The 27176-nt window shown below is 48.0% G+C and overlaps 1 long non-coding RNA gene and 1 pseudogene across 3 annotated transcripts, besides 3 other annotated features; both read right to left on the bottom strand.

Annotated features, from left to right (window-relative positions):
* Nucleotides 4042-4242: a silencer, noted in NCBI's record as "peak929 fragment used in MPRA reporter construct". NCBI's record gives its function as "represses an SCP1 promoter by STARR-seq MPRAs in K562 erythroleukemia cells {active_cell/tissue: K562}" and the evidence as "EXISTENCE:reporter gene assay evidence [ECO:0000049][PMID:32103011]".
* LINC02635 (long intergenic non-protein coding RNA 2635) lies at nucleotides 10251-12811 on the bottom strand. 3 transcript variants are annotated; one of them, XR_007062109.1, is made up of 3 exons: nucleotides 11741-12804; nucleotides 11547-11635; nucleotides 10251-11171 (listed from the first exon to the last, which is right to left on the bottom strand). It is a non-coding gene; the product is annotated as a long intergenic non-protein coding RNA 2635 (long non-coding RNA). The 3 variants fall into 3 exon arrangements; XR_001747419.1 differs by having other exon boundaries at nucleotides 10251-11656; nucleotides 11741-12811; XR_001747418.1 differs by having other exon boundaries at nucleotides 10251-11635; nucleotides 11741-12811.
* On the bottom strand, nucleotides 19375-20829 carry PRDX2P2 (peroxiredoxin 2 pseudogene 2; annotated as a pseudogene).
* Nucleotides 25928-26428: an enhancer, noted in NCBI's record as "H3K4me1 hESC enhancer chr10:35248329-35248829 (GRCh37/hg19 assembly coordinates)". NCBI's record gives its function as "activates a minimal SCP1, AML or CMV promoter by ChIP-STARR-seq in naive H9 embryonic stem cells {active_cell/tissue: H9 hESC(naive)}" and the evidence as "EXISTENCE:reporter gene assay evidence [ECO:0000049][PMID:30033119]".
* Nucleotides 26429-26929: an enhancer, noted in NCBI's record as "H3K4me1 hESC enhancer chr10:35247828-35248328 (GRCh37/hg19 assembly coordinates)". NCBI's record gives its function as "activates a minimal SCP1, AML or CMV promoter by ChIP-STARR-seq in naive H9 embryonic stem cells {active_cell/tissue: H9 hESC(naive)}" and the evidence as "EXISTENCE:reporter gene assay evidence [ECO:0000049][PMID:30033119]".

Below are 27176 nucleotides of genomic sequence, written 5' to 3'. Positions count from 1 at the left end.
AGTATCGAAAGGGGTGAGTTTGTTTTGTTTTGTTTTTGAGATGGAGTTTCACTCTTCTTGCCCAGGCTGGAGTGCAATGGCACGATCTCGGCTCACTGCAACCTCTGCCTCCTGGGTTCAGGTGATTCTCCTGCCTCAGCCTCACAAGTAGCTGGAACTACAGGTGCCCACCACCATGTCCAGTTAATTTTTGTATTTTTAGTAAAGACGGGGTTTCACCATGTTAGCCAGGCTGGTCTCGAACTCCTGAGCTCAGGTGATCTGCCTGCATTGGCCTCTCAAGTGCTGGATTACTCGCGTGAGCTACAATGCCTGGCCTAAAAGGAAGAATTTGGAGGCAAGAGGCAATACATTGATAACCAGCACAAGAAATTAGAAGAAATTTTAGAAGTGAAAAATAAAATAGATAAAATTCAGAACACAATAGAAGTGTTTAACAGTAGATTAGACACAACTGAAGAGAGAATAAGGGCACTGGAAGATAGATGGGAAGGACAGAACATACACAGGAGAGATCAAGAGACATTTATGGCAGAGTTGGAAGGTTCTAAATCTGCACTGTTTAATAGGGTAGCCACTAGCCATATGTGGTTATTTAAATTTAAATTAATTGCAGTTAAATAAAATGTAAAAATTCAGTTTCTCAACTGCACTAACCACATTTCAAATGCTTAATAGTCACATACCAGTATATAACACAAATGCTTAATAGCCCCAGCATGGACACAGATTCAGCAGGTTGTATTAGTGCTGGTCTAAATGGATTTAATTGGAGTTCCACAAATAAAGGAGAAAAGGGAGCAGAAGCAATATTTGAGGAGTTTTAGCTGAACACTTTCCAAAACTAACAAAAGACATAAAGCCACAGTTTTCAGAAGACCGAAAATTCCCAAATCCAAACAGGATAAATAAAAAAGAAATCCACAGCCAGACCTAGTAAATCTCTGGGAATACCAAAGACTTAATGGCAAAGAGTTGAAAGCTTTCTCTTTAATGTCAGAAACAAGATAAGGATACCCGCTGTCACCATGGCTATTCAACATTTCTTGGCCAGTGTCATAAATCAAGAAAAGGAAATCAGAGGCACAACAATTGCAAAGAACAGACCAACTGTTATTTGAATACAATGCTATTATATACTTAGAAAATCTTTTAAGATTTATAGAGAACTTATTAAAATTAGTAAGTTGCTGAATACAAAGTCAGTATACAAAAGTTTAGTTACAAATGCTGGTTAAATGATTTGAAATAGGATACCCCTTATAGTGATATGAAAAATACAAAGTACCTAAAAATTAACCTTATAAAACATGAGTAAGATCCCTATATAGAGAACTGTAAAATAGCTTTTCAAGAAACTAAAAACAGCTAAATAAATGGAGAGAGATATACCATGCTTATGAATTGAAAGACTCACTATTGTAAAGATATAGGTATCCCTAAATTGATGTATAGATGCAGTGTTATTCTATCTTAAGAGATTTTTTTTGACAATCTGATTTTTTTTTTTTTTTGAGATGGAGTCTCACTCTGTCGCTCAGGCTGGAGGGCAGTGGCATGATCTCAGATCACTGCAGCCTCTGCCTCCCGGGTTCAAGCAATTCTCCTGCCTCAGCCTCCCGAGTAGCTGGGACTATAGGCATGTGCTGCTGCGCCCAGCTAATTTTTGTATTTTTAGTAGAGATGGGGTTTCACCATGTTGTCCAGGATGGTCTTGATCTCCTGACCTCGTGATCCACCTGCCTCAGCCTCCCAAAGTGCTGGGATTACAGGCCAGAGCCACTGCACCTGGCCAAAATATTTTTTTAAAGTTAGCTGGGCATGGTGGCACATGCCTGTAGTCCTAGCTACTCAGGAGGCTGAGGCAGGAGGATTCTTGAGCCCAAGAATTCAAGGGTGCAATGAGCTATGGTTGCACACTGTGATCCAGCCTGGGTGACAGAGTGAGACCCTGTCTCAATAAAGAAAAAAAAAAAAAAAAAAAGAGGGCTAGGTATGGTGGTTCATGCCTGTAATCACAATATTTTGGGAGGCCAAGGCTGGTGGATCACCTGAGGTCAGGAGTTGGAGACTAGCCCAGCCAACATATTGAAAGCCTGTCTCTACTAAAAATACAAAAAATTAGCTGGGTGTGGTGGCGGGCATCCGTAATCCCAGCTACTCAGGAGGCTGAAGCAAAAGGATCGCTTGAACTTGGGAGGCGGAGGTTGCAGTGAGCCGAGATCTTGCCACTGCACTCCCGCCTGCTGGGTGACAAGAGTGAAACTCCATCTCAAAAAAAAAAAAAAAAGAAAGAAAAGAAGATCCCTCTTTGAAGTAAAGCAAGATGGAAAGACTCTTCTAAGCATCAAGACTTATAAAATTGTACAATAATAAGCCAATGCTATGATGGTCTAACAATCAGCAATAGAACAGAATAGAGGGCACAGACACAGATCCTTAAATGCATGGACATTGATCCTTTTTTTTTTTTGAGACAGAGCCTCGCCCTGTCGCCCAGGCTGGAATGCAGTGGTGCAGTCTTGGCTCACTGCAACCTCCACCTTCCGGGTTCAAGCGATTCTTGTGCCTCAGCCTCCCAAGTAGCTGGGACTACAGGTGTGTGCCACCATGCCCAGCTAATTATTTGTATCTTTAGTAGAGACGGGGTTTCACCATGTTGGCCAGGCTGGTCTCGAACTCCTGACCTCATGATCCGCCCACCTCGGCCTCCCAAAGTGCTGGGATTACAGGCATGAGCCACCGTGCCTGGCTGGACATTGATTCTTCACAGAGGTGTCACTGCAAAGAAGTGGGGAAAAGATGTACTTTAAAATAAATGATCCTGGAATAACTGGACATCCATAAGGAAAAAAAAAACCCGAAATTTGTCCCCCACCTAACACCATGCATAAAAGTCAATCCTAGAGAGGCTGTAGAAAAAAATATGATAGGCAGAAAAATAAAGCTTTTAGAGGGTGATATAGAATTTCATGATCTTGCATTAATGCTATTTTTTTTAAAAAAGATCAATACATTTGCCTACATTAAAGAGTTCTCATGAAAAGACACTATGAGCAAAATAAATAAGGCCAGCCAGCCACAGACTGGGAAAAGATACAACAGGTGTAACTGACAAAAGGATTATACTGAGAATATTGAAAGAATTGCTACAGGCCGGGCGCGGTGACTCACGCCTGTAATCCCAGCACTTTGGGAGGCCGAGGCGGGCGGATCACGAGGTCAGGAGATCGAGACCATCCCGGCTAAAACGGTGAAACCCCGTCTCTACTAAAAATACAAAAAATTAGCCGGGCGTAGTGGCGGGCGCCTGTAGTCCCAGCTACTTGGGAGGCTGAGGCAGGAGAATGGCGTGAACCCGGGAGGCGGAGCTTGCAGTGAGCCGAGATCCCGCCACTGCACTCCAGCCTGGGCGACAGAGCGAGACTCCGTCTCAAAAAAAAAAAAAAAAAAAAAAAAAGAATTGCTACAAATCATTAAGAAAAAGACAGATAACCCAATTGAAAATTTGGGAAGAGACTGAATTTTATAAAAGCAGAAATCCAGATGGTCAATAAACATATGAAATGATGCTCAACTTCATTAGTAATTAGGGAAATAAAAATTTAAATCACAATGAAATACCATTACCCACTCACCAGAATGGTTAGAATTTTAAAAACGGGCTATTTGAGGAGTGAAGCAACTGAAAATTTCATGCATTACTGGTGGGAGTTAGTTGGAACAGTCTCTTTAGGAAACAGTGTGGCACTGTCTTCTAAAGTTGAAAATGTGCATACCCTATGACTCAGCAGTTCTACTCCTAGATATACACCCCCCCAAAATATGCTCATAGCAATGAAAAGAAGTGGGCAACATAGTGAGACCCCGATCTCTACAAAAATTTTAAAAATTAGCTGAGTATCATGGCACTTACCTGTAGATAGAGCAAAACCCCATTTCTAAAGAAAAAAAATTAATAAAGATAAATTTAAGAACACACACACACACAAAAAAGAATATACATAGCAGCATTATTTGATATATCCCAGGACTGGAAGGAACTCAAATGTCCATCAACAGCAGAATGGATAAGTGGTGCAATGAAAATTGTATTCATCGGAAGCAATGAAGATAAACTCCAGCTACGTGCAGCAATGTGGGTGAATGGGCTCCAGTAACAACCAAAGCCACAGGAGGAGCCTCATGTGAACTAGAGAAAAGTGAACACGCCGCATGGAGAAGCACTTATTTGGAGATGCCTCTGTTTCCAGCCCCCAAACCTGCAGTCCTACCAGCTTCTGCCTGGTTCACACCACCTCCTCTTTCTTGGAATAGGAGGGGGATTCATTTTCCCATCTCTCATGCTCTGGATTCCTTCCCATTCCTGTATCTTCAACTCGCCCTCTTGATGGGTGCCCCCTCTTCTCCCAGGGTTCCTTATCTTAGCAGTTATTTACTTACTGTTTGTTCCTGCTGACCTGAGCTGTGCCTGGCCACAAGGATGGGGCTCAGAGACCGCTGTTGTCTGAGGCATGCAGGGTTTGGGACACTTTACCATGGTCTTACTCTTTCCTCTGTTCCCATCATTCCCATCTCTACTCCAGAATCCCACATTCTCCCAGTTACTGCCTCTGGCCTCTGTGATATAATACCCAGAGTGCTAGGAAGCATTATTTAAAATTTTTGCTGGGCATAGTGGCCCACGCCTATAATCCCAGCACTTTGGGAGGCCAAGGTGGGGGATCATTTGAGGTCAGGAGTTCGAGACCAGCCTGGCCAACATGGAAACCTTATCTCTACTAAAAATACAAAAATTAGCTGGGTGTGGTGGCATGTGTCTGTAATCCCAGCTACTCAGGGGCTGAGGCAGGAGAATTGCTTGACCCCGGGAGGCAGAGGCTGCAGTGAGCTGAGATCGCACCATTGCACTCAAGCCTGGGCAACAGAGCAAGACTCCATCTCAAAAAAAAAAAAATTTTTTTTTCTAATTTTTTGATTTTTTTAGAGATAGGGTCTCACACTTTGTCACCCAGGTTGGAGTGTAGTGATCATAGCTTACTGCAGCCTCAAACTCCTGGGGTCAAGCGATCCTCCTGCCTCAGCCTCTTGAGTAGCTGGGACCACAGGTGCACACTACCACACTGGGCTAATTTTTAAAATATTTTTTTGTAGAGACAGGAGTCAGGCAATGTTGCCCAGGCTGGTCTCAAACTCCTGGCCCCAAGCGATCCTCCTGCCTTGGCCTCCCAAACAGCTGGGTTTACAGTCATGAGCCACTGTGCCTGGCCCTAGATTTCTTATCTAGAATGCATCTTGTGGAACTTCTCTTAATTGGTCCTTCATTTCTCTGTTCAGAAGGTACAATCTGGGAAGAACAAAGGTTTACCTTAGTTTCTGATGGCTCATAAGGTGACACTCAGAACATCAGACCTCTACTCAGGCCAGGATTGTCCTTAGAGCACCCTCTCAATGCAGGTCTCTCCTCACCCACTTCCTCCACCTCTGTTTTGAAAGAGAGATGCTCAGCTAGAAAGAGTTGCATTGAGGCTAAGCTATGGGAGCTCCTGACAGTGGCGGCCTGGCCTGTGGTCACTGCAGGGCCCTACATGTGGTGAAAGTTGATAGTGAGGGCTCAGGGAGCCAGGCTCAATGGCTCACGCCTGTAAACCCAGCACTTTGGGAGGCTGAAATGGGAGGATGGCTTGAGCTCAGGAGTTTGAGACCAGCCTGGGCAACATAGTGAGACCCCATCCTCCACAAAAAATAAGAAATTTAGCCAGGTGTAGTGGCACACACCTGTGGTCCTAGTTACTTGGGAGGCTAAGGCAAGAAGATCACTTGAGCCCAGGAGTTCAAGGCTGCAGTGAGCCAAGATTGCACTAATGCACTCCAGCCTGGGTGACAAAGTAAGACCGTGTCTTAAAAACAAACAAACAGACACGTTCAGGGAAGTTTAGAGGAGGAGGCATGGTTCATATTCTGGAAGGAGATGACGGGATTTCACTGTTTCAGAAAACCCTCTGTACTCTAACCCAGCGGCTTAGGGCCTGACTCCACACACTTCCCTCCATGCTATTCGGGGTCTAACAGCATCTGAGGTCTCTGCTTCTGGGTGGAGGCCCTCACAATCCTAAGGACCACAGCACACAGCCGGGGCCTCAAACCAGGGCATCAACCTGTATCCTATGCCCAAGGTCACGGCCTTATCACCAACCCTACCCTTGCTGGTCCTTCCTGCCTTCAGGGTCTTCTCACTGTTTTAGTCTATTTCCCCAGCTGAACCCCTGTGCCCGCCTGATTCTTTTTTATTTCACAAACCTTCTTGGCTCAGAATTTGGGTTTTCTGGGGAGTGCTCATTTGAATTTGACAAACATTCCTTGAGCTTCCAAGACAGGTGTGGTGTCAGCTTTTGAGGAGGCTTTAACTTTGTAGTAAAAATCAGCTGGCCAGGCGCCATGGCTCATGCCTGTAATCCCGACACTTTGGGAAGCTGAGGCGGGTGGATCACCTGAGGTCAGGAGTTTGAGACCAGCCTGGCCAACATGGTGAAACCCCATCTCTACTAAAAGTACAAAAATGCAGCAGGGTGTGGTGGCATGTGCCTGTAATCCCAGCTACTCGGGAGGCTGAGGCAAGAGAATTGCCTGGACCTGGGAGGCAGAGGTTGCAGTGGGCCAAGATCGCGCTACTGCACTCCAGCCTGGGCAACAAAATATGACTCTGTCTCAAAAAAAAAAAAAAAAAATCAGCCATAAAAAGTACTTTTTTTTTTCTCCACAAGAAGTACAATGCAGAATGTGGTGAGTGTTTCCTCAGGTGGAGACGCAACTTGCTAGAAGATTTGTTACAAAAGAGTAGTGGGAAGGAGGGGAGGGCTGGCGCCCCAAGGCTTTCTTTAGAGATGTGGCATTGGGCTGGGCTTGAAGGATGGAGATGCTTTCAGAAGCCCAGGTATGAGGAGAAGGACGTGAGATGAAGGGACAGCATGCCCAGGGAATCACCAAATTCCAATGCACTTTAAGTACAAGTAGAGAAGGGAAAGAGAGAGAGATGACAAAGCAAGGTTGAAGTGATGCCATTGAGGATCCCCATGCCAAGCCCAGAAGCCTAAATCTTTGTAAAGGAGGGCCAGTGAGGAATCTTGAATCAATAAATGCCCAGGCCTCCATGTGTGAGCCATTCTGATCCCCATTCAGTTACCGATTCTATATCTGTAGCCTCTTAAAAATCCACCCATGTCCCTCCATCCCTACAACCTTAGTTCACGCCACTGCCTTGTCTCTCTGGGATACATGCAACAGTCCCGTAACAAATTCTCCAATCTCCAGACTCCCCTCCGCCTCCTCTACTCCTAATGGTTTACCCCCAGCAGCCAGACTTGGTCATTGTCAGAGTGCAAATCCAATCGTGTCAATTTCCTGCCTTGGAACTTTCAAGAGCTTCACGTTACCCTCGGGATCAAGTCAAAATTCCTTGTACATTACACACCTGGCCCTTCCCAGCTCCACTACACTAAACTATCTCTACTTCTGCAATCCCTTCTGCAGGAATGCCCCTCCAGCCATCACCTGCTGATCACGACTCAGCTCTGGGCCGTTCCCCCAGGGGCCTCTCTGATCCCACCTCCTTGTAGGGCTTCTTCAGCCCGCTGTGCTTTCTCACTGTCTGTCCTAGCACCTGTCGCAGTGTTGAAATGGCCAGTTCCTTCATTTTTTCTCTGCTCTCAGTTTTTTATTTTTTACTTATTTATTTATTTATTTTTTGAGACAGAGTCTCACTCTGTCACCCAGGCTGGAGCGTGATCTTGGCTCACTGCAACCTCCACCTCCCAGGTTCAAGCAATTCTCTTGACAGCCTCCTGAATAGCTGGGATTACAGGCATGCGCCACCACACCCAGCCCTGGCTTTATCTTAGCATCTATATTTTCACAATGCAGGTACTAGGGGCTCAAAAAAAAAAAAAAAAAAAAAAGAGGTCCTCAAAAGGATGGATGAAACACCGACTTTCTCAGCTAACCTCTCCTGGCTCACATCAGTCCCACACCCACTGGACATATTTGCTTCTTTCTTTCTTCTCTTCTTCCCATTTTTTTTTTTTCTCCCTGAGACAGGGTCTCACTCTGTTGCCCAGGCTGGAGTGCAGTGGCACCATCATGACCCACTGCAGCCTTGGCCTCCTGGGTTCAAGCAATCCTCCCATTTCAGCCCCCCAGAATTACAGGTGTCCACCACCATGCCCAGTTAATTTTTTTATTTTTTAAAGAGACAGGGTTTCACTATGTTGCCCGGCCTGGCCTTGAACTCCTAAACTCAAGGGATTCTCCTGCCTCAGCCTCCAAAATTCCTGAGATTACAGGTGTGAGCCACCTCACCTGGCCCCATTGTCTTTCTGTCCCTAGTTCTGCCCCAAGAGGTGACTGTGGTATAGCAGAAAGAGTCCATACAAAATCATTTACAAACAAAGCCTGAAGTGAAACAGCAAATGGTTAACAGTGGTGGCTTTGCGGGGCAGGACAAAAGACAATACTTTATTCTTTCCACCTTTTTTTTTTTTTTTTTTTAGTATTTATTGATCATTCTTGGGTGTTTCTCGCAGAGGGGGATTTGGCAGGGTCATAGGACAATAGTGGAGGGAAGGTCAGCAGATAAACAAGTGAACAAGGGTCTCTGGTTTTCCTAGGCAGAGGACCCTGTGGCCTTCCGCAGTGTTTGTGTCCCTGGGTACTTGAGATTAGGGAGTGGTGATGACCCTTAATGAGTATGCTGCCTTCAAGCATTTGTTTAACAAAGCACATCTTGCACCTCCCTTAATCCATTTAACCCTGAGTGGACACAGCACATGTTTCAGAGAGCATGGGGTTGGGGGTAAGGTTATAGATTAACACCATCCCAAGGCAGAAGAATTTTTCTTAGTACAGAACAAAATGGAGTCTCCCATGTCTTCTACTTTCTACACAGACACAGCAACAATCTGATTTCTGTATCTTTTCCCCACATTTCCCCCTTTTCTATTTGACAAAACCGCCATCGTCATCATGGCCCATTCTCAATGAGCTGTTGGGTACACCTCCCAGACGGGGCGGCTGCTGGGCAGAGACGATCCTCACTTCCCAGATGGGGCAGCTGCTGGGCGGAGGGGCTCCTCACTTCCCAGACAGGGTGGCTGCCGGGCGGAGGGGCTCCTCACTTCTCAGACCGGGCGGCCGGGCAGAGATGCTCCTCACCTCCCAGACGGGGTCGCGGCCGGGCAGAGGCGCTCCTCACATCCCAGACGGGGCGGCGGGGCAGAGGCGCTCCCCACATCTCAGACGATGGGCGGCCAGGCCGAGATGCTCCTCACTTCCTAGATGGGATGGCGGCCGGGAAGAGGCGCTCCTCACTTCCCAGACTGGGCAGCTGGGCAGAGGGGCTCCTCACATCCCAGACGATGGGCGGCCAGGCAGAGACGCTCCTCACTTCCCAGAGGGGGTGGCGGCCAGGCAGAGGCTGCAATCTCGGCACTTTGGGAGGCCAAGGCAGGCGGCTGGGAGGTGGAGGTTGTAGCGAGCCGAGATCACGCCACTGCACTCCAGCCTGGGCAACATTGAGCACTAAGTGAACGAGACGCCGTCTGCAATCCCAGCATCTCGGGAGGCCAAGGCTGGCAGATCACTCACGGTTAGGAGCTGGAGACCAGCCCGGCCAACACAGCAAAACCCCGTCTCCACCAAAAATATACGAAAACCAGTCAGGCGTGGCGGTGTGCGCCTGCAATCCCAGGCACTCGGCAGGCTGAGGCAGGAGAATCAGGCAGGGAGGTTGCAGTGAGCTGAGATGGCGGCAGTACAGTCCAGCTTCGGCTCAGCATCAGAGGGAGACCGTGGAGAGAGAGGGAGTGGGGAGATGGAGAGGGAGAGGAGGGAGAGGGAGAGGGAGAGGTCTTTCCACCTTTTTTTGTATTTATCAAATTCACTATATTTTCTAATGGGAAAATACTTTTTTTTGTAAGAAAGAGCAGTCCGGGTACAGTGGTTCATGCTTATAATCCTAAAATCCAACATTTTGAGAGGCCAAGAGCCCAGGAGTTTGAGACCACCCTGGGCAACATAGCAAGACCTTGTCTCTAAAGAAAATTAGCTTGGCATGGTGGCACATGCCTGTAATCCTAGCTACTCTACTCAGGAGGCTGAGGTGGGAGGATCACTTGAGCCTAGGAATTCGAGGTTACAGTGGGCTACAATTGTGCTGTAGCAGGACGGGCCACAGACAAAACTCCTCAGACACTGGATTGAAGAAGGAAGAGGTTTTTATTTGGCTGGGAGCGTTGGCAGACTCGCATCTTAAGAGCCGAGCTCCCCGAAGACAGAGTTCCTGGCCCTTTTAAGGGCTTACAACTCTAAGGGGTTCCACATGAAAGGGTCGTGATGGATTGAGAGCACATGTGGTTAGAGGAGAGGGGGGTGGTTAACCTTTTAACCTCAGGCCAGGTCATCAGTGGCACTGGCTGGTCTTGCCACTGACTTCCTTCCTGTTGTTTTTCAACTTTTACTTCCTCCTGTTCTTCAGAGACAGGAGACAGTAAGAGAAATGGCTTCCCTCCTCATTCTCCCCTTTGAGAACCTCACTCACTAGTGGGAGTTCTCACTTCCACCTACATTACCTAGGTCTTCCTGCCAGTCCAATTCCATTGACTCCTAGAGTTACATACTCTCTTGTTTTCCAATGGGGATTAAGTAGTTCTACTGGGTTGTAGCACACTTGAGTCTGGTCACTTCCTGAGCTGCATACCTTGTACTGGGTGGCATTATACACACAAGTCCCTTTTAAACAGAAAGACTGTTTTAACTTTTTGCCCTACCTCAGTCTGAGGAAGGTCAGTTGAAGTCCTTACTGTACAAGTCCAAAATTTAAGAAAAATGAGTTCCACGATGAGCTTCCTCATGCTTCGGCCGTGCATGGACTAGTCAGCTTCTGGGTGTGACTGGAGCAGGGCTTGTCATCATCTTCAAGGTCACTCTGCAAGGGTTGTCCGGGCTTGGTCTTGCCTCCCAGGTTTCAGGCGCTGCAGGTTTTACATGGCTGTGGTGGATCCAGGCTGGGATTCCTTCTACCTTCACAGCGGTGAGAGTGGTCAGGATGACAATCTGGGGTCCTATCCACCATGGGCACAAAGAAGCTACATTCCAGTCTTTAATCCATACTTGATCACCTGGGGAGAAAGGGTAAACTGGGGAGAATAAGCTAACAGGGCATCTCTCATTTACCCAGGCTGAGATTGTTTGTGCAATTTTTCCTAGAGCCTGTAGCTGTCACTGTAACTCAATTTCACCTAACTCTCGGGGAGTGCCTGGAAGTCCCCGCAATATGGGAGGGGGCCTAATATTTTATAAGGGGAATATCCTGTTCTTTTAGAAGGGGTACATCTAATTTTAAATAATACCATAGGGAGAGCCTATATCCATTTTAATCCTGTATCCTGACATACTTTCCCTAAACTATTTTTGATAGTCCGATTCATCCACTCCACCTTTCCGGAATTCTGAGGCTGGTAGGCGGCATGCAGTTTCCATGTGATCCCCAATACCTTTGCTGTCTTCTGTATCAAGTCAGCCACAAATGCCGGCCCGTTATCTGAGCCGATCCGTAAGGGCAGTCCAAATCTAGGAATAAGATCTCGAAGAAGCACACGGGTTACTTCACGAGCTTTCTCAGTTCATGTTGGATAAGCCTCCACCCACCCAGAGTAGGCACACATGAGAACTAGTAAATACTTGTTACCTCCACACTTTGGCATCTCTGTGGAATCTACCTGGAGATCTTCAAAGGGGGCTGCTCCATAAGCCTGTATGCCGGGTGGAATGGCTGGACCTTGCCTCGCATTATGCTGTCAGCAGGTAACACACTGCTGCGTCACTATTTTGGCAGGGGCTGACAAATGTGAGATGTAGAAATACCAGCCTAACAACTTTTCAAGTGACTCCTGGCCTAGATGGGTGGTTTTATGCACAGCCAGTACAACTGCAGCTCCTAACAGCTGTGGCACAGCTACTCTCCCATCTGGTAACCAAATCCATCCTTCCTGCATCACTTGTCCTCCATCTTCCTGGAGAAAGTCCTTTTCTTTAGAATAAGTAGGTGCAAGATCAGGTGCTTGAGGGAGCAGAGGGGCTGTGACTGATGCCCGGAAGGGGGCAGTTGCTGCTTTTCGAGCCTCTGGGTCAGCGAGGGAATTCCCCAAACCCACCAAGGTGGAAGCTCGCTGGTGTCCTCTGCAATGCATAACTGACACCTTGTGGGGTTTCCATACTGCTTCTAATAATTGCAAGATTTCTTGTTGATATTTTATGTCTTTTCCCCCAGAGTTCAATAGGCCCTTTTCTTTATATCATGTTCCATGCACTTGAAGGGTTAAAAAGGCATACGGAGAATCAGTGTAAACGTTTACAGTCTTACCTTCACTGAGTTCTAAGGCCCGAATTAAAGCAATGAGTTCAGCTTTCTGGGCTGAAGTGCCCTAGGGCAATGATCTGGCTTCAACAACAGTGTCCAGGGTTACCACCGCACACCCTGCACCTCTCTCTCCTTGTGGGTTGATGAAGCTGCTCCCGTCCACGTGTAGTTCCCAGTCTACTGATGCCCAAGGCTGGTCCCGGAGGTCAGGTCTGCTAGAGTAAACTGAGTCTAACACTTCTACACAATCATGCTCGACAGTGCTCTCTGATACCGGGAGCAAGGTGGTGGGGTTCAGGATGTTACAAACTTCAGCGGTTATATGGGGATTTTCACAGAGCAAACTTTGGAACTTGGTGAGTCTAGCATTCATTAGCCAATGATGTCCTTTAGTATTCATTAAAGTCACAGCATGGGGGGCCTTTATGTTCAGGTTTTGCCCAAGAGTCAGCTTATTTGCTTCTTCACTAGCAGGGCAGTTGCTGCCAAGGCCCTCAAACATGGGCCATCCTTTAGACCCCACAGTTTGGGTTAAAACTCCAACTGCCATCTTTTCTCTCTCTCTGACACATACAATGTAAAAGGCTTTGTCAGATTGGGTAGCCCCAGGGCTGGGGCTGACGTAAGTTTTTCCTTTAACTCATGAAAGGCTTGCTGTTGTTGGGATCCTCATTCAAAAATTTCCCGGTCCTCCCTCTTTGTGACCTCAAAGGCTTGGCTAATACTGCAAAGTTTGGGATCCACAGTCTACAAAACCCCACAGCTCCTAAGAATTCTGTCAACTGCCTTCTGCTCTTAGGCTCCAGTAGATTGCAAATAACCTGCTTTCTTTCTGACCCCAGGCTGCGCTCCCCCTGTCGGATAGTAAATCCCAAGTAACGTACCTGCTGTCGGGAGATCTGAGCTTTTTTCTTGGACACCTTATACCCACAGTCCTCCAGGTGCCGGAGTAGGGCATCCATTCCCTTGGCGCACCCAACTGCTGTGGGGTGTCCCAGCAAAAGGTCATCAACGTACTGGAGCAATACACAGCCTAGGTGTCTGGTGGGAAATTCCTGGAGGTCTCGAGCCAATGCCTCCCCAAAGATGGTGGGGGAGTCCTTGAACCCTTGGGGAAGCCGGGTCTAAGTGTATTGAGTAGTGATAACTGACTCCAGATCTTCCCACTGAAAGGCAAACAGCTTCTGGCTCTCACGGGCTAATCTGATACTAAAGAAAGCGTCTTTCAGGTCCAAGCAGGTGAACCACCTGTCCTCAGCTGGCAACAACCCCAACAATGTGCACGGGTTAGATACTGTTGGATGTAAAGTCACTGTAGCTTGATTAACCAAGCGCAAATCCTGTACCAGCCTGTAGTCCTTGGTCCCTGGCTTGGGAACAGGCAGGAGGGGAGTGTTCCATGGAGAATGACAAGGAACTATAATTCCAAAAGTTTTTAGGTGCTTGAGATGGACCTGGATACCTTTAAGAGCTTCTCTGGGGACCGGGTACTGTTTTTGCCTAACCAGCTGGGCCCCAGGCTTAACTTCTACAAGTACGTGGGCTTGGTTGACTGCCAACCCTGGAGGGTTGTCTTCTGCCCATACTCTTGGCCACCGCTTAGCCAGAGCTGGTCTTATCTCTTGGCTTGGCTCAGTTAAGAAAAGTCTCCGTTCCTCCTCTCGGGGAACCGTAAGGGTCATAATGACTCCCGTTCTGGGTAATGTTAGCAGCAAAGAGCCATGCTCTGTAAAAGAGATAGTGGCTCTCAGCTTGCTAAGCAAGTCCCTTCCCAACAAGGGCAAGGGACAGTCAGGCATGTACAAAAACTGATGAATCACTTTATGTCCTCCTACAGCACGAGTCCGGGGCCAGCAGAAAGCTTGCTTTGCTGAAACCCCCATGGCTCTGATTATGTCAATAGTCTTTTTGGATAAGGGGGTGACTGGGGCGGTTACTACTGAATGTTCAGAACCGGCATCTAAAAGAAAATCAATGTCTTTACCCCCGACTATCATTCTAACCATAGGCTCTTTGGGGGCACTTGAGCCCGGTCCCCCTCAGTCCAGTAACCCTTCTGCCAGGTTGAGCAGGGCCCCTTCCTCCTTGTCTGGGGCCTCCTGCTCTGAGTCACCTTGTTTTCTTTTTAGCTGAGGGCATTTGTTCTTCCAATGTCTTTTTTTTTTTTTTTTTTTTTTTTTACAATAAGCACACTGGTTACGCTGCAAACTCTGACAGCCAAGCTGAGTTTCTTTCCCAGGACCCCCCTTCCCTTGCCTCTTTGTGGGGACCCCTCTGATTGCTGCAGCTAACAGGTCAGCATTTCGCCGGGCCTGACATTCATTCTCTTTGCGGTTTTCCTTATGGCTTACTGCATCCCTGTTTACAAACACCTGGTTAGCTATTTCTAATAACTGATGTGTTCATCCCTGCAAACCCAGCCTGTTTCTGCAGTTTTCTTCTAATGTTTTCTGCGCTTTGACTAAGTAAAGCCATGTTAATCATGCACTGATTTTTAAGGCTATCAGGATCAAAGGGAGTATACATACGATAGGCCTCACACAGTCTCTCATAGAATTGTGCTGGACTTTCTTCTTTTCCCTGAATGACCTCAGAGACCTTAGTAACGTTTGTAGCCTTCTGGGCTCCCCTCTTTAATCCTTCCAAGAGAGCTTCCCTGTATCAGTTTAGCCTTTGCTTATCCTTTCTTTCATTTGGGTCCCACTGGGGGTTGGTTCCTGGTAACGGGGTCCTTACATACCCTTGGGGGTTTTGGTAATCAGCTGGTGCATGTTCCTCTAGCCACTTAGTTGCTGCTTGGAGCACTCTCCACCTTTCATCTGTGTTAAAGAGGAACATGAGCAACTGGTGGCAATCAGCCCAGGTGGGGTTGTGGGTCTGGATAATAGTTTGGAGCAAATCAATTAGAGCTTGTGGCTTTTCAGTATAGGATGGGTTTTTCCAGTTGAGAAGGTCGGCAGAGGTGAAGGGCTGGCACACAAAAACACGCCTCTCCACCATGTGACCATCTTCATCTATCCCAGTATACCGCTGCTCTCTCAGGGGCATTTGTATCCCAGTTTTGGGTCATAAAAGAGCTGCTAAGGGAGGGGTTTCTCCCAAGTCTTCACCTCCTCTCTTGTCTACTCTGGGTGGCCTACGGATATGCTTGTTTTGCGGAGGCACAAGCACTGTGGGCTCTACTGTGGGGAGCCTCTTTCCCTGGTAAGGGGAGGACACCACTGGGATCACTGGTGCCATCTCCTGCAATGGATCTTCTGATGATGGGTCGAACAGAACTTCTGGTGTTGATTTCCCTGGGCGGGTGGAGCGGGATCCTTCCTTAGCTATCTGTCCCTTTGCTACTAGCACTGCTGCTGTCTGCCCTCTTAGTCACTGTGGGGGGTCTAGCACCAGCTGTAACCAAGTGTCTATGTATGGGAACTGGTCTAGGTATCCTTTACCAGTTACCTTGTGCCACACCTTAGAAACAAGGGACCTGTCCAGGCTTCCTTCTGATGGCCAACCCACTTCTAATGTTGGCCAATCTATTTCACACGAAGTTCTATGTTTCCCTGGTGTCATAGTAACCCCATAGTCTCCACTAAATCCTTCCTTGGAATTTTTCAACATAGCTCCTTGTGGAGTGGGCTTACTTTTGTCTGACCCATGTTTCCTGAAGACAAAACACCACACTCATACCACACGCACACCACAGAACAAAGAATGGGTAAAAAGGACACACACACACTTTTTCAGTTTACACCAGGCCAGAATCAAAACCAAAATCAGAGTATCCAGAAATCCAAGCCAGGTCAAAACCAAAACCATAGTATCAAGCAATTCAAGTCAAGTCAAAAACAAGAACCAAAGTGCCGGTACAGGCACACCGTGGGTGATCAGGCCATGCTTCCACTCAAATGGAGCGAGCAAGTTCCAAAGACCAGTCTTACCAAGTTTCAGATGTCCGGACTCCAAGTGCCCATTCCTTCCCAGTGTTCAGCCACTGCGTTGATCCTCCGCGGGGGCCTGCCACACACTGCTCTGATGAGGCGTTCCACCGGGGCAATTGCTTACCCGGGAGCCCTCTCAGGATCCACCTCGCTCGAGCTGGTCAGAGTCCCCTGCAGGGATGTTCCACAGGGCAGGCCTAAGGGGCTGCCTCGACCCGTCCCTTAATCACCTCGCTTCCTGGTCAGGGAACCAAGAAATGTAGCAGGACTGGCTGCAGACAAAACTCCTCAGACGCCGGATTGAAGAAGGAAGAGGTTTTTATTCGGCTGGGAGCGTTGGCAGACTCACGTCTTAAGAGCCCAGCTCCCCGAAGACAGAGTTCCTGGCCCTTTTAAGGGCTTACAACTCTAAGGGGGTCCACGTGAAAGAAAGGGTCGTGATGGATTGAGAGCACATGTGGTTAGAGTGGGGGGGCGTTAATCTTTTAACCTCAGGCCAGGTCATCAGTGGCACCGGCTGGTCTTGCCACTGACTTCATTGCTATTGTTTTTCAACTTTTACTTCCTCCTGCTCTTCAGAGACAGGAGACGGTAAGAGAAATGGCTGCACTCCAGCTTGGGCAACACAGTGAGACCCTGTCTCTAAAATAATAATAATAATAATAATAATAATAATAATAATAATAATAAAAGATGGAGCACTAGATCAAGACTGAAAGACCTTGATTTAAGTGAGAATAGCAGAGTAGTGTGTATAGTAAATATCATCTGTCTAAAAAAAGAAAAGCTGAAAAATATGTATTTATAAAATCTCTCTGGGCTAGGCGTGGTGGCTCATGCCTGTAATCCCAGCACTTTGGGAGGCCGAGATGGGCAGATCACCTGAGGTCAGGAGTTCAAGACCAAATTGGCCAACATGGTGAAACCCCGTCACTAATAAAAATACAAAAAATTAGCTGGGCGTGGTGTCGGGCGCCTGTAATCCCAGCTTCTAGGGAGGCTGAGGCCAGAAAATCACTTGAACCTGAAAGGCAGAGGTTGCAGTGAGCTGAGATTGTGCCCACTGCACTCCAGCCTGGGTGACAGAGCAAGACTCTGTCTCAAAAAAAAAAGAAAAGAAAGAAATCTCTGGAAGGTTACTTAAGAAATGAAAAACATCAAGGGCTTCTGCAGAGGAGAGGCAGGAGGCTGGGGCCCAGGGAGACAGGATTTCCACTATATCCCTAAGTATATTTTGGGTTTTGAACCATGTGAATATATTACCTATGCAAAAAATAAATTAAAAAGTATAATATATTTATTATAAATATAAAAAAGTATGAATAAAAAAGGTTTGAGGCTGGGAGTGGTGGCTCACATTTGTAATCCCAGCACTTTGGGAGGCTGAGGAGGGAGGATTGCTTGAGGCCAGGAGTTTGAGTCCAGCCTGGGCAACATAGCAAGACCTCCCCCCTCAACAAAACAAAACAAAACAAAAAAAGTGTTGAGTTTGAATTCTAAGCCACTAGATAACTTTGGAAACATCACTTTCCCCGTCTGTAAAATGGAGAAAACAGTACCTGTTTCAGGCAGTCTTTGCAAGAAGTGAGTGGCTTGTGAGTGTTGGTGACCCTCTGAGGCACCCCACAGAGGTAAGGGCTTGTCCTCTGGCCTCCCGATTCCCCCGGGCCCTCCCTCCTTCTCACCCTGTCTTGCCCTTCAAATGAAGCTGTCAAGGCCAAACTGTGCGCCTGCCAAGATGGCCCCCACTGGAATTCTTCCCTTGGCTCTCTGCCTGTTGGAACACAGCTAATAGCATGAAGGAAAAGCCACACTTCGAGGATCTGGGCATTTCAAAGCAGTCAAGCAGCTCTTTTTGTTTTCTCAGGCTCTCCGCTTGCCAGCTAGTTCCACACATTAGAAATATTTTGGGTCAGCTCTGCAGTTCTCAACCATAGCGCATCCGTCTTGTTTCATGACTACTTCCCTATAATAGCTCTGGGAAAAACTGCACTGGGCCTCGTCCCAAACCACGCTGCTGGCATCCCAAGCTGCATTCAATATGGTGCCTTCGGGTAGTAATTATAAGAGAAGTCGAAAACTCCTGCGACTTCCTCGGGTTTGGTCTGGAGCTGTTTGGGTTGAGTTTCTAGAGAGTTGTCGTCACTATGACCTTCAATGCTTGAGGCAGGAAGAGGAGTTTAATTTACCATGTTTCTGCTGGTTCCAATAACCCTGCTCTTCTCTGCAGCCCGGTGGCTTTTTTTTCCTCCTTGATGTGGATATTTATTGAGTGTCGATGCAAAATGTGATGCTGAAGGAGGTACTTTTTTTTTTTTTTGAGACGGATTGCAGGCATGAGCCACTGCACCCGGCCGAGGTGCTTTCTTTGTTGCCTGGGATATGGCTGCCAGATTTGGCAAATGAAAATGCAGGATACCCAGTTATATCAGAATTTCAGGTAGTGAAGAATTTTTTAGTATAAGGATGTCCTGTGCAATTTTTAGGATATACATTGGAATTATTTATTGTTTTAGTATATAAATATGTCCCATGCAATGTCTGTTTTTTTGTTGGTTTGATTGAGTTTTTTGTTTGTTTGTTTGTTTGTTTGTTTTGCCTTTGTTTTTTGAGACAAGGCCTCACTCTGTTGCCCAGGTTGGACTGCAGTGGTGTAATCTCAACTCACTGCAGCCTCGACCTCCTGGGCTCAAGCAATCCTCCTGCCTCAGCTTGTCACGTAGCCAGAATTACAGGCGCACAACACCATGCCTGGCTAATTTCTAAATGTTTTCAAATATAAGGTCTTTCTATGTTGCCCAGGCTGGTCTCTAACTCCTTGGCTCAAACACTGCCTCAGCCTCCCAAAGTGCTGGGATTACAGATGCGAGTCATCATGCTCGGGCCTCCCATGGAGTATTTGCACATACTTACATTATAAATTATTCACTGTTTATCTGAAATTCAGATTTAACTGGTTGTCCTGTATTTAATTAATTAATTTATTTATTCATTTATTTATTTTCTGTCCCTAATACTTTATTGGTCATTTCCAGGTCTGTGTGCAGCTGGGTGGGTTTTGGGGAGGGTGTCACTATTCACCAGCTCCCAGTTGGAAGCATGAGAAGGCCTTGGCCTAGCTCTCCAGGGTCCCAGGCTGTACAGTTTAGAGAGGAAGATCTGGCCTTTCCTGGGTCAACACAGGGCACTCATGGAGGGGCACAAGCTCATGATCCATCAGCCAGCCTAGTTGTGTTTGGAGAAATATTCCTTGCTGTCATTCACGCTGGGCTTGATCATGTCACTGCCAGGCTTCCAGCCAGCAGGACAAATTTCCGGGTGCTCGTCTGTGTACTGGAAGGCCTGGACCAGCCGCAGGGCCTCATCCACAAAGTGTCCCACAGGCCAATCATTAACAGCGATCTGGGGAAGGACATCCTTGCCATGGATGATAAAGAGGTCCCTGCAGGCCAGGCGTGGTGGCTCACAGATGTAATCCCAGCACTTTGGGAGGCCGAGGCAGGCAGATCACCTGAGGTCAGGAGTTCGAGACCAGCCTGACTGACGTGAAGAAACCCCGTCTCTACTAAAAATACAAAAATTAGCCAGGCGTGGTCGCGCACTCCAGTAATCCCAGGTACTCGGGAAGCTGAGGCAGGAGAATCACTTGAACCGGAGAGGCGAAGGTTGCAGTGAGCCGAGATTGCATCATTGCACTCCAGCCTGGGCCACTCCGTCTCAAAAAAAAAAAAAAAAAGCCCCTGCAGACAATGCCCTCGTCTGTTTTCAACACGCCGTAATTCTCAGACAACTTCAGGTCACGTCAGCAAGCAGAGGGGTGTCCAGGGACTCAAAGCCTCCCTCCTTCCGGGGGATGTTGATCCAAGCCAGGTGGGTGAACTGAGCCCACCGAGGTCCCCAGCACTTTGCAGCTTTCGGAAGCCCTCAGCATGGTCGCTGAATGCGATGATCTCTGTGGGGGCACACGAAAGTGAAGTCCAAGGCTCAGTGGCTCACACCTGTAATCCCAGCACTTTGGGAGGCTGAGGCTGGCAAATCACCTGAGGTCAGGAGTTCAAGACTGACCTGGCCAACATGGTGAAATCCCATCTCTACTAAAAATACAAAATTAGCAGGGCAAGGTGGCATGTGCTTGTAGTCCCAGCTACTTGGGAGGCTGAGGCAAGAGAATCGCTTGAACCCACGAGGCAGAGGTTGCAGTTAGCTGACATCGAGCCACTGCACCCCAGCTTGGACAACAGAGCTAGACTCTGTTTAAAAAAAAAAAAAAAAAAGTGAAGTCCAGAGGATGGAAAAGAGGACCACGTGCTTCCCTCTGTAGTCCAACAGCTTTACCTCCCTGTAGGTGCCATCCACCACGGCAGTGGCCTTGAAGTCAGGGGTGAGCTTTCCAATGTGCATGTTACCGGAGGCCATGACTGAAAGCTCCACGGGCAAAGGCCAGATGCAGGATAACCGGATGCGTGGACCCGTGCTCTCAGTGCCCTGGGCATCCTGTATCTATTTACCCGGCCACTCTGCCTGTGAAAGACATGAGCAGAATTCTCTTCAGTCATGCAGAGGAGATAAGAGGCCCATTCCTCTTGTTCTCTGGCCTGAGCCTGCTTCTTTATTTTCTTATTATTTTTTATTATTTTTATTTTTTAGAGATGATCTCACTCTGCTGCCAAGTCTCAAGTTCAGTGGCATGATCATGGCTCACTGCAGCCTCTAACTCCTGGCTCAAGCGATCCTCCCATCAACCTCTGGAGTAGCTGGGACTACAGGCGCACACTACCATGCCTGGCTAATTATCATTATTTTTTAAATTTCTTCTAGAAACAAGGTCTTGCTCTGTTGCCCAGGCTGCTCTTGAACGCCTGGACTCAAGTGATCCTCCCACCTCAACCTCCCAAAGTACTGAAATTACAAGTGTGAGCCACTGTGCCCAATCTGGCCTGAGCTTGCTTCTTTAGCCCAACTCTCCACCCTTGGGCCACAACATGAGAACTCCCCACAGGGACAAGTCCCCAGTGCGCTTGCTTTGACTGACACTCTCTACTGCGCACGGGGCCTTGCCCTGCCTGGCACCCACTTCCAGAGCCCACCTAACCTCTGAGTCCTGCGGCTGCCGCTCTGCCTGCACCTGGGATCCGCCCACGCGGCTCGGCTGGGGCTGCCTTGCTCCCTCTTTAGCCACACATCCACACTTGGTTTCCACCTGGGTTTCTTCTGTGTCCACTCTGAGGAATAATTCAGGCTGATTCCTGATTCCATGCAACCTGAGACCCTGCTCGGGTTCTGGATCCTGTGACCCTAGCTCTCAGCAGATCTGTCCTGTCCTGTTTTTTTTTTGTTTGTTTGTTTTGTTTTGTTTTTTTAGACGGAGTTTCGCTCTGTCGCCCAGGCTGGAGTGCAGCGTCGTGATCTCTGCTCACTGCAACCTCTGCCTCCCTGGTTCAAGTGATTCTCCTGCCTTAGCCTCCCAAGTAGCTAGGATTACAGGCACACGCCACCATGCCCAGCCAATTTTTGTAGTTTTAGTGGAGACGGGGGTTTCACCATGTTGGCCAGGCTGGTCTCGAACTCCTGACCTCAAGTGATCCACCTGCCTCGGGCTCCCAAAGTGCTGGGATTACAGGTGTGAGCCACCATGCCCTGTCCTCTTAAAATGGTTCTGCCTGCTGACTTGATGTTAGAATCTAGCTCAGAGAGGATTTTTTTTTTAAAGAAGAAGCAGCCGCTATCAGTCTAGAGGCCCTACTTCCATAAACCCAGACACTCTCCTTGAAATCCTGTTATCAAAAGCCCCAAGCCAATTCTGAAGGCAGGAGTCCATGTGCAGCCGGGCAGAGTCCCAGCCAGCACCCTCTCCATGGGCTTTCTCTTCTCAGGGGAGGCAGCGATTGGGGTGCACTTTCTGCACTTTTATTCTGGCTCAGCAGGTGAGTCCCCAATACAGTCTGGGCCAGAGTCCTTAAAGAGAGCTGTGGCATCTGAGAAAACAGAATTCAAACTCACTTCTGGATGTCTTTGTGATGCCAGATGCCCTGCTGGCTCCTGGGAGCACACACTCACTCAATGACCTAAATGCCCTGGGACCCTCTTGCAAGACGGGCCATGTGAATGGAGCCATCCTGCCAGCTGGTGGCCTCCAAGATGGCACACAAAGCTGCCTCCCTGTGACTTCTTAAAGTCCGACCTTTGGCCAGAGGACATAAAGTATCAAATCTGTGTTTGTTTGCTGGTCTGCCATGACAAAACACCACCAACTGAATGGCTGAAAGCCACAGAAGTCTATTGTCTCCTGGTTCTGGAGCTCAGGAGTCCAAAATCAAGGTGTTGGCAGGGTCGTCCTCCCTCTGAAGCCTGCAGAGGAAAACCCTTCCTTGACTCAGCCTAACTTCTGGTGGTTTGCTGGCCATGTTTGGCATTCCTTGGCTTCTGACAGGTCCCTCCCACCTTCTGTTGTCACATGGCGTTCTCCCCTGTCTTGTGGGCCAGAGGCTGCCCATGAACAAAATATTTTAACACACACTGGTTGGTTTTTAACAGACAAAAATCAGAAAAGTATGCACAAAAATCTGGATTTCCATAGGCCTTTGTAACTGTGACCACAGCTTAGGCTTTGCTGGGGAGCAGGTAACAGTCTTATCACCAGCATGAGTGTACATGGGTTTGTTGTGTCTTTTTCCAAGAATAAGCACAGAAGAAGGGTGGAGGGAATAGCTTCTGTGCATGTGAGGTGGGATGTGAGAGTGGGGACAGAGGGAGAAAGACAAAATGCCCACAGGCAGGCTGGACGCGGTGGCTCATGCCCGTAATCCCAGCACTTTGGGAGGCTGAGGTGGGTGGATCAAAGCCTGGCCAACATGGTAAAACCCTGACTCTACTAAAAATACAAAAATTAGCTGGTCATGGTGGTGCCCGCCTGTCATCCCAGCTACCCGGGAGCCTGAAGCAGGAGAATTGCTTGAACCTGGGAGGTGGAGGTTACAGTGAGCCAAGATCACACCACTGCACTCCAGCCTGGGCAACAGAGCAAGACTCCATCTGAAAAAAAAAAAAAAAAACATTATCCAGAGGCAGGAGCTGGTGGCAAAAAATGCCCTGGGTGGTTTGGGGCAGGATAGCTCTGTGTGAGGAGCTGGAGGCCCAACACTCATCCCCCTATGGCCCTGGCCCCGGGCTGTGTTCCTGAAATTCACATCAACTCTCCTCACCTGCCGAGGTGGGCAGATCATTTGAGGTCAGGAGTTTGAGACCAGCCTGGCCAACATGGCAAAACCCTGTCTCTACTAAAAATACAAAAATTAGCCAGGTGCGGTGGCACGCGCCTATAATCCCAGCTAGTCAGGAGGCTGACCCAGGAGAATCGCTTGAACCCGGGAGGTGGAGGTTGCAGTGAGCTGACATCGCGCCATTGCACTCCAGCCTGTGCAACAGAGCAAGACTCCATCTCAAAAAAAAAAAAAAAAGACAGGATTTTATTATGTATTTATTTACTTTTAGAGACGGGTGTCCCCCTGTCACTCATCCTGGAGTGCTGTGGTACAATCATAGCTCACTGCAGCCTCAAACTCCTGGGCTCAAGTGATCATCCCACCTCTGCCTCCCAAGTAGCTGGCACTATAGGCATGTGCCCCTGCACCCGGCTAATTTTCTTATTTTTTGTAGAAATGGGGGACTGGCTATGTTGCCTAGGCTGGTCTCGAGCGTCAAGACAAGTTTATTTATTTATTTATTTTTAAATTTTTTAAAACAGACATAGGGTCTTTTATGTTGCCCAGGCTGGTCTTGATTTCCTGACCTCAAGCGATCCTCCTGCCTTGGCCTCCCAAAGTGCTGAGATTATAGGCTTGAGCCACCACACTCAGCAAGACATGAATTTATTAAGAAATATCGCCAGGCGCAGTGGCTCATGCCTGTAATCCTAGCACTTTGGGAGGCCGAGGCGGGTGGATTGCCTGAGCTCAGGAGTTCAAGTCCAGCCTAGGCAACTCGGTGAAACCCCATCTCTACTAAAATACAAAAAATTAGCTGGGCGTGGCAGCGTGTGCCTGTAATCTCAGCTACTTGAAAGGCTGAGACAGGAGAATCGCTTGAACCCGAGAGACGGGGGCTGCAGTGAGCCGAGATTGCGCCATTGCACTCCAGCCTGGGTGACAGAGCAAGACTCCATCTCAAAAAACAAAAAAAAAGAAAAAGAAAAAGAAAAAGAAAATAAAAACAGAAATATCTACAGCTGCAGGACTCATGGGGAGACCTGAAGAGGGAGACTCTAGGCTGTGCTTCCACACAGGTTCCTAAGTGCACTCAGAAATAGCCACCAAGGGAATGACAGCCACTACCAAAACCAGGGACCGCTGTGCCAGATGGCCACTGCCCCAGCCGTCAGCGGCAGGCCAGCCTGCACTCCACAACCAACACCTGCAAAACGCAGGCCTCTCACGCTGCCTCCCTCCACTCAGTTCCAAATCAACGAGGGACAAAAGTTCAGGTGATAGGTGAAACCTACCCCCCAAATCCATCCCTTAGTGGTGAGAGATGCTGGGAATGGAAGTGGTTTTAAATGCTCTGTTGGGAAAGTGGCTTTACCTTATGGGGAACTATTCAATAGAATTTTATGCAGTGTGGTGGCTCATGCCTGTAATCCCAGCACTTTGGGAGGCCAAGGAGGGCGGATCGCTTGAGGTCAGGAGTTCGAGACCAGCCTGGCCAACATGGTGAAACCCTGTCTCTACTAAAAATATAAAAATTAGCCAGGCATGGTGGTGCACACCTGTAATCCCCACTACTCAGGAGGCTGAGGCAGGAGAATTGCCTGAATCTGGGAGGTGGAGGTTGCAGTGAGCCGAGATTGCACCACTGCACTCCAGCCTGGGTGACAAGAGCAAAACTCCGTCTCAAAAAAGAAAAAAGTATAAAAAAGAAAAAGGTTTTGTGGGCCGGGCGTGGTGGCTCACGCCTGTAATCGCAGCACTTTGAGAGGCCAAGGCAGGCAGATCACGAGGTCAGGGGTTCGAGACCAGCCTGGCCAATATGGTGAAACCCCATCTCTACTAAAAATACAAAAAGCCGAGCGTGGTGGCGGGTGCCTGTAGTCCCAGCTACTCGGGAGGCTGAGGCAGGAGAATTGCTTGAACCCAGGAGGCAGAGGTTGCAGTGAGCTGAGATGGCACCACTGCACTCCAGCCTGGGTGACAGAGTGAGACTCTGACTCAAAAAAAAAAAAAAAAAAGGTTTTGTGGTTTTTAAATAGAGCCAACTTCTAGCATTATCAAGCAATAGGATGCATTGCCATTTTCATGAGGGGTAGGCGGAACATTCTCGGAAACTTTGGTTTTCCTCTTACTCCTTTATTCTAAGGGCTGCAGAGAAGCCATCTCACTTGCCGCACCTAAGTAGAGGGTAGGCAGGGAGCTATGTCTTTAATTAGGAAAGAAAGGCCCTTGGAAAGCTGGTGCCTTCTTCCCCAGGGCCTTCTTACAAGCTCATACCCCTCACTTCCCCTTTCCCAAGGGCCCTGAAGATCCAGATCTGTATCAACGTTTGAAACTTGATGATCCTAACAGCAGTCCTCTGAAATTGCACTGAGTCTTTGGTCAGAGAGCTGGCTGAGACTCTCCCCAGGGAGAGGTGGCCATGAAGGAAGGCAGAAGTTGCATACACCCAGTGGCATTTTTATAGCAGTTTTGCAGCTAAAAAAAAAATTATATATATATAAATATAGATAGATAGGTAGATACACACACACATATGTATGCATATATATATGTGTATATATATATATATATATTTTTTTTTTTTTTTAACAACCTGCCTAATCTAAAGCTTTGTGTTTGGTGTGAGAAGCTCTGTGATGAACCAGCCCTGGAGAGCAAAGGAACAGAACGGGGGCAGGAAGAAAGGACCGTTTGTCACAGAGAGCTCTAAAGGGCAGCATCAGCCCAGCAGGGGTCTGTGTTACCTTTGAAAACGGACACACTGGAGTGAACTGGCCACAGGCAGCCGGGGCTCCCTTGGGCATGTCTGGCTTCCATGTCAGCTGGATGGCAGATCACGGAACACAAAGTGGAAGCCCAGGAGGAACTGCAAGGATTTTTTTTTTTTTTGAGATGGACTCTCGCTCTGTCACCCAGGCTGGAGTGCAGTCGCGCGATCTCAGCTCACTGCAACCTCTATGTCCCAGGTTCAAGCAATTCTCCTGCCTCACCCTATGGAGTAGCTGGGATTACAGGCACGCGCCACCACACCTGGCTAATTTTTGTCTTTTTAGCAGAGACGGGGTTTCACCATGTTGGCCAGGCTGGTCTTGAATGCCTGACCTCAAGTGATCCGCCTACCTTGACCTCCCAAAGTGCTAGGATTACAGGTGTGAGCCACTGTGCTCAGCCAGGAATGCTTTTAATGGAATCTGCAGGGCAAGGGAGAACTTTCCAGAACAACTTTATATTTAATTAACTTTAGAGGTTCACAGTTTTTTGTTTGTTTGTTTGTTTTAATGGTATAAAGATCACTGATCGGCCGGGTGCAGTAGCTCACGCTTGTAATCCCAGCACTTTGGGAGGCCGAGGTGGGCGGATCACCTGAGGTCAGGAGTTCAAGACCAGCCTGGTCCAACATGGTGAAACCCCGTCTCTACTAAAAATACAAAAATTAGCCAGGTGTGGTGACATGTGCCTGAATCCTAGCTACTGAGGAGGCTGAGGCAAGAGAATTGCTTGAACCTGGGAGGCCGAGGTTGCAGTGAGCCAAGATCATGCTATTGCAGTCGAGCCTGGGAGACAAGAGTAAACTCCATCTCAAAAATAAATAAATAAATAAATAAAAATAAAAAAATAAAGATCACT

This window comes from Homo sapiens, chromosome 10 (assembly GCF_000001405.40).
Source record: "Homo sapiens chromosome 10, GRCh38.p14 Primary Assembly".
Classification (NCBI taxonomy): domain Eukaryota; kingdom Metazoa; phylum Chordata; class Mammalia; order Primates; family Hominidae; genus Homo; species Homo sapiens.
This window is presented reverse-complemented; position numbering and strand designations above follow the sequence as displayed.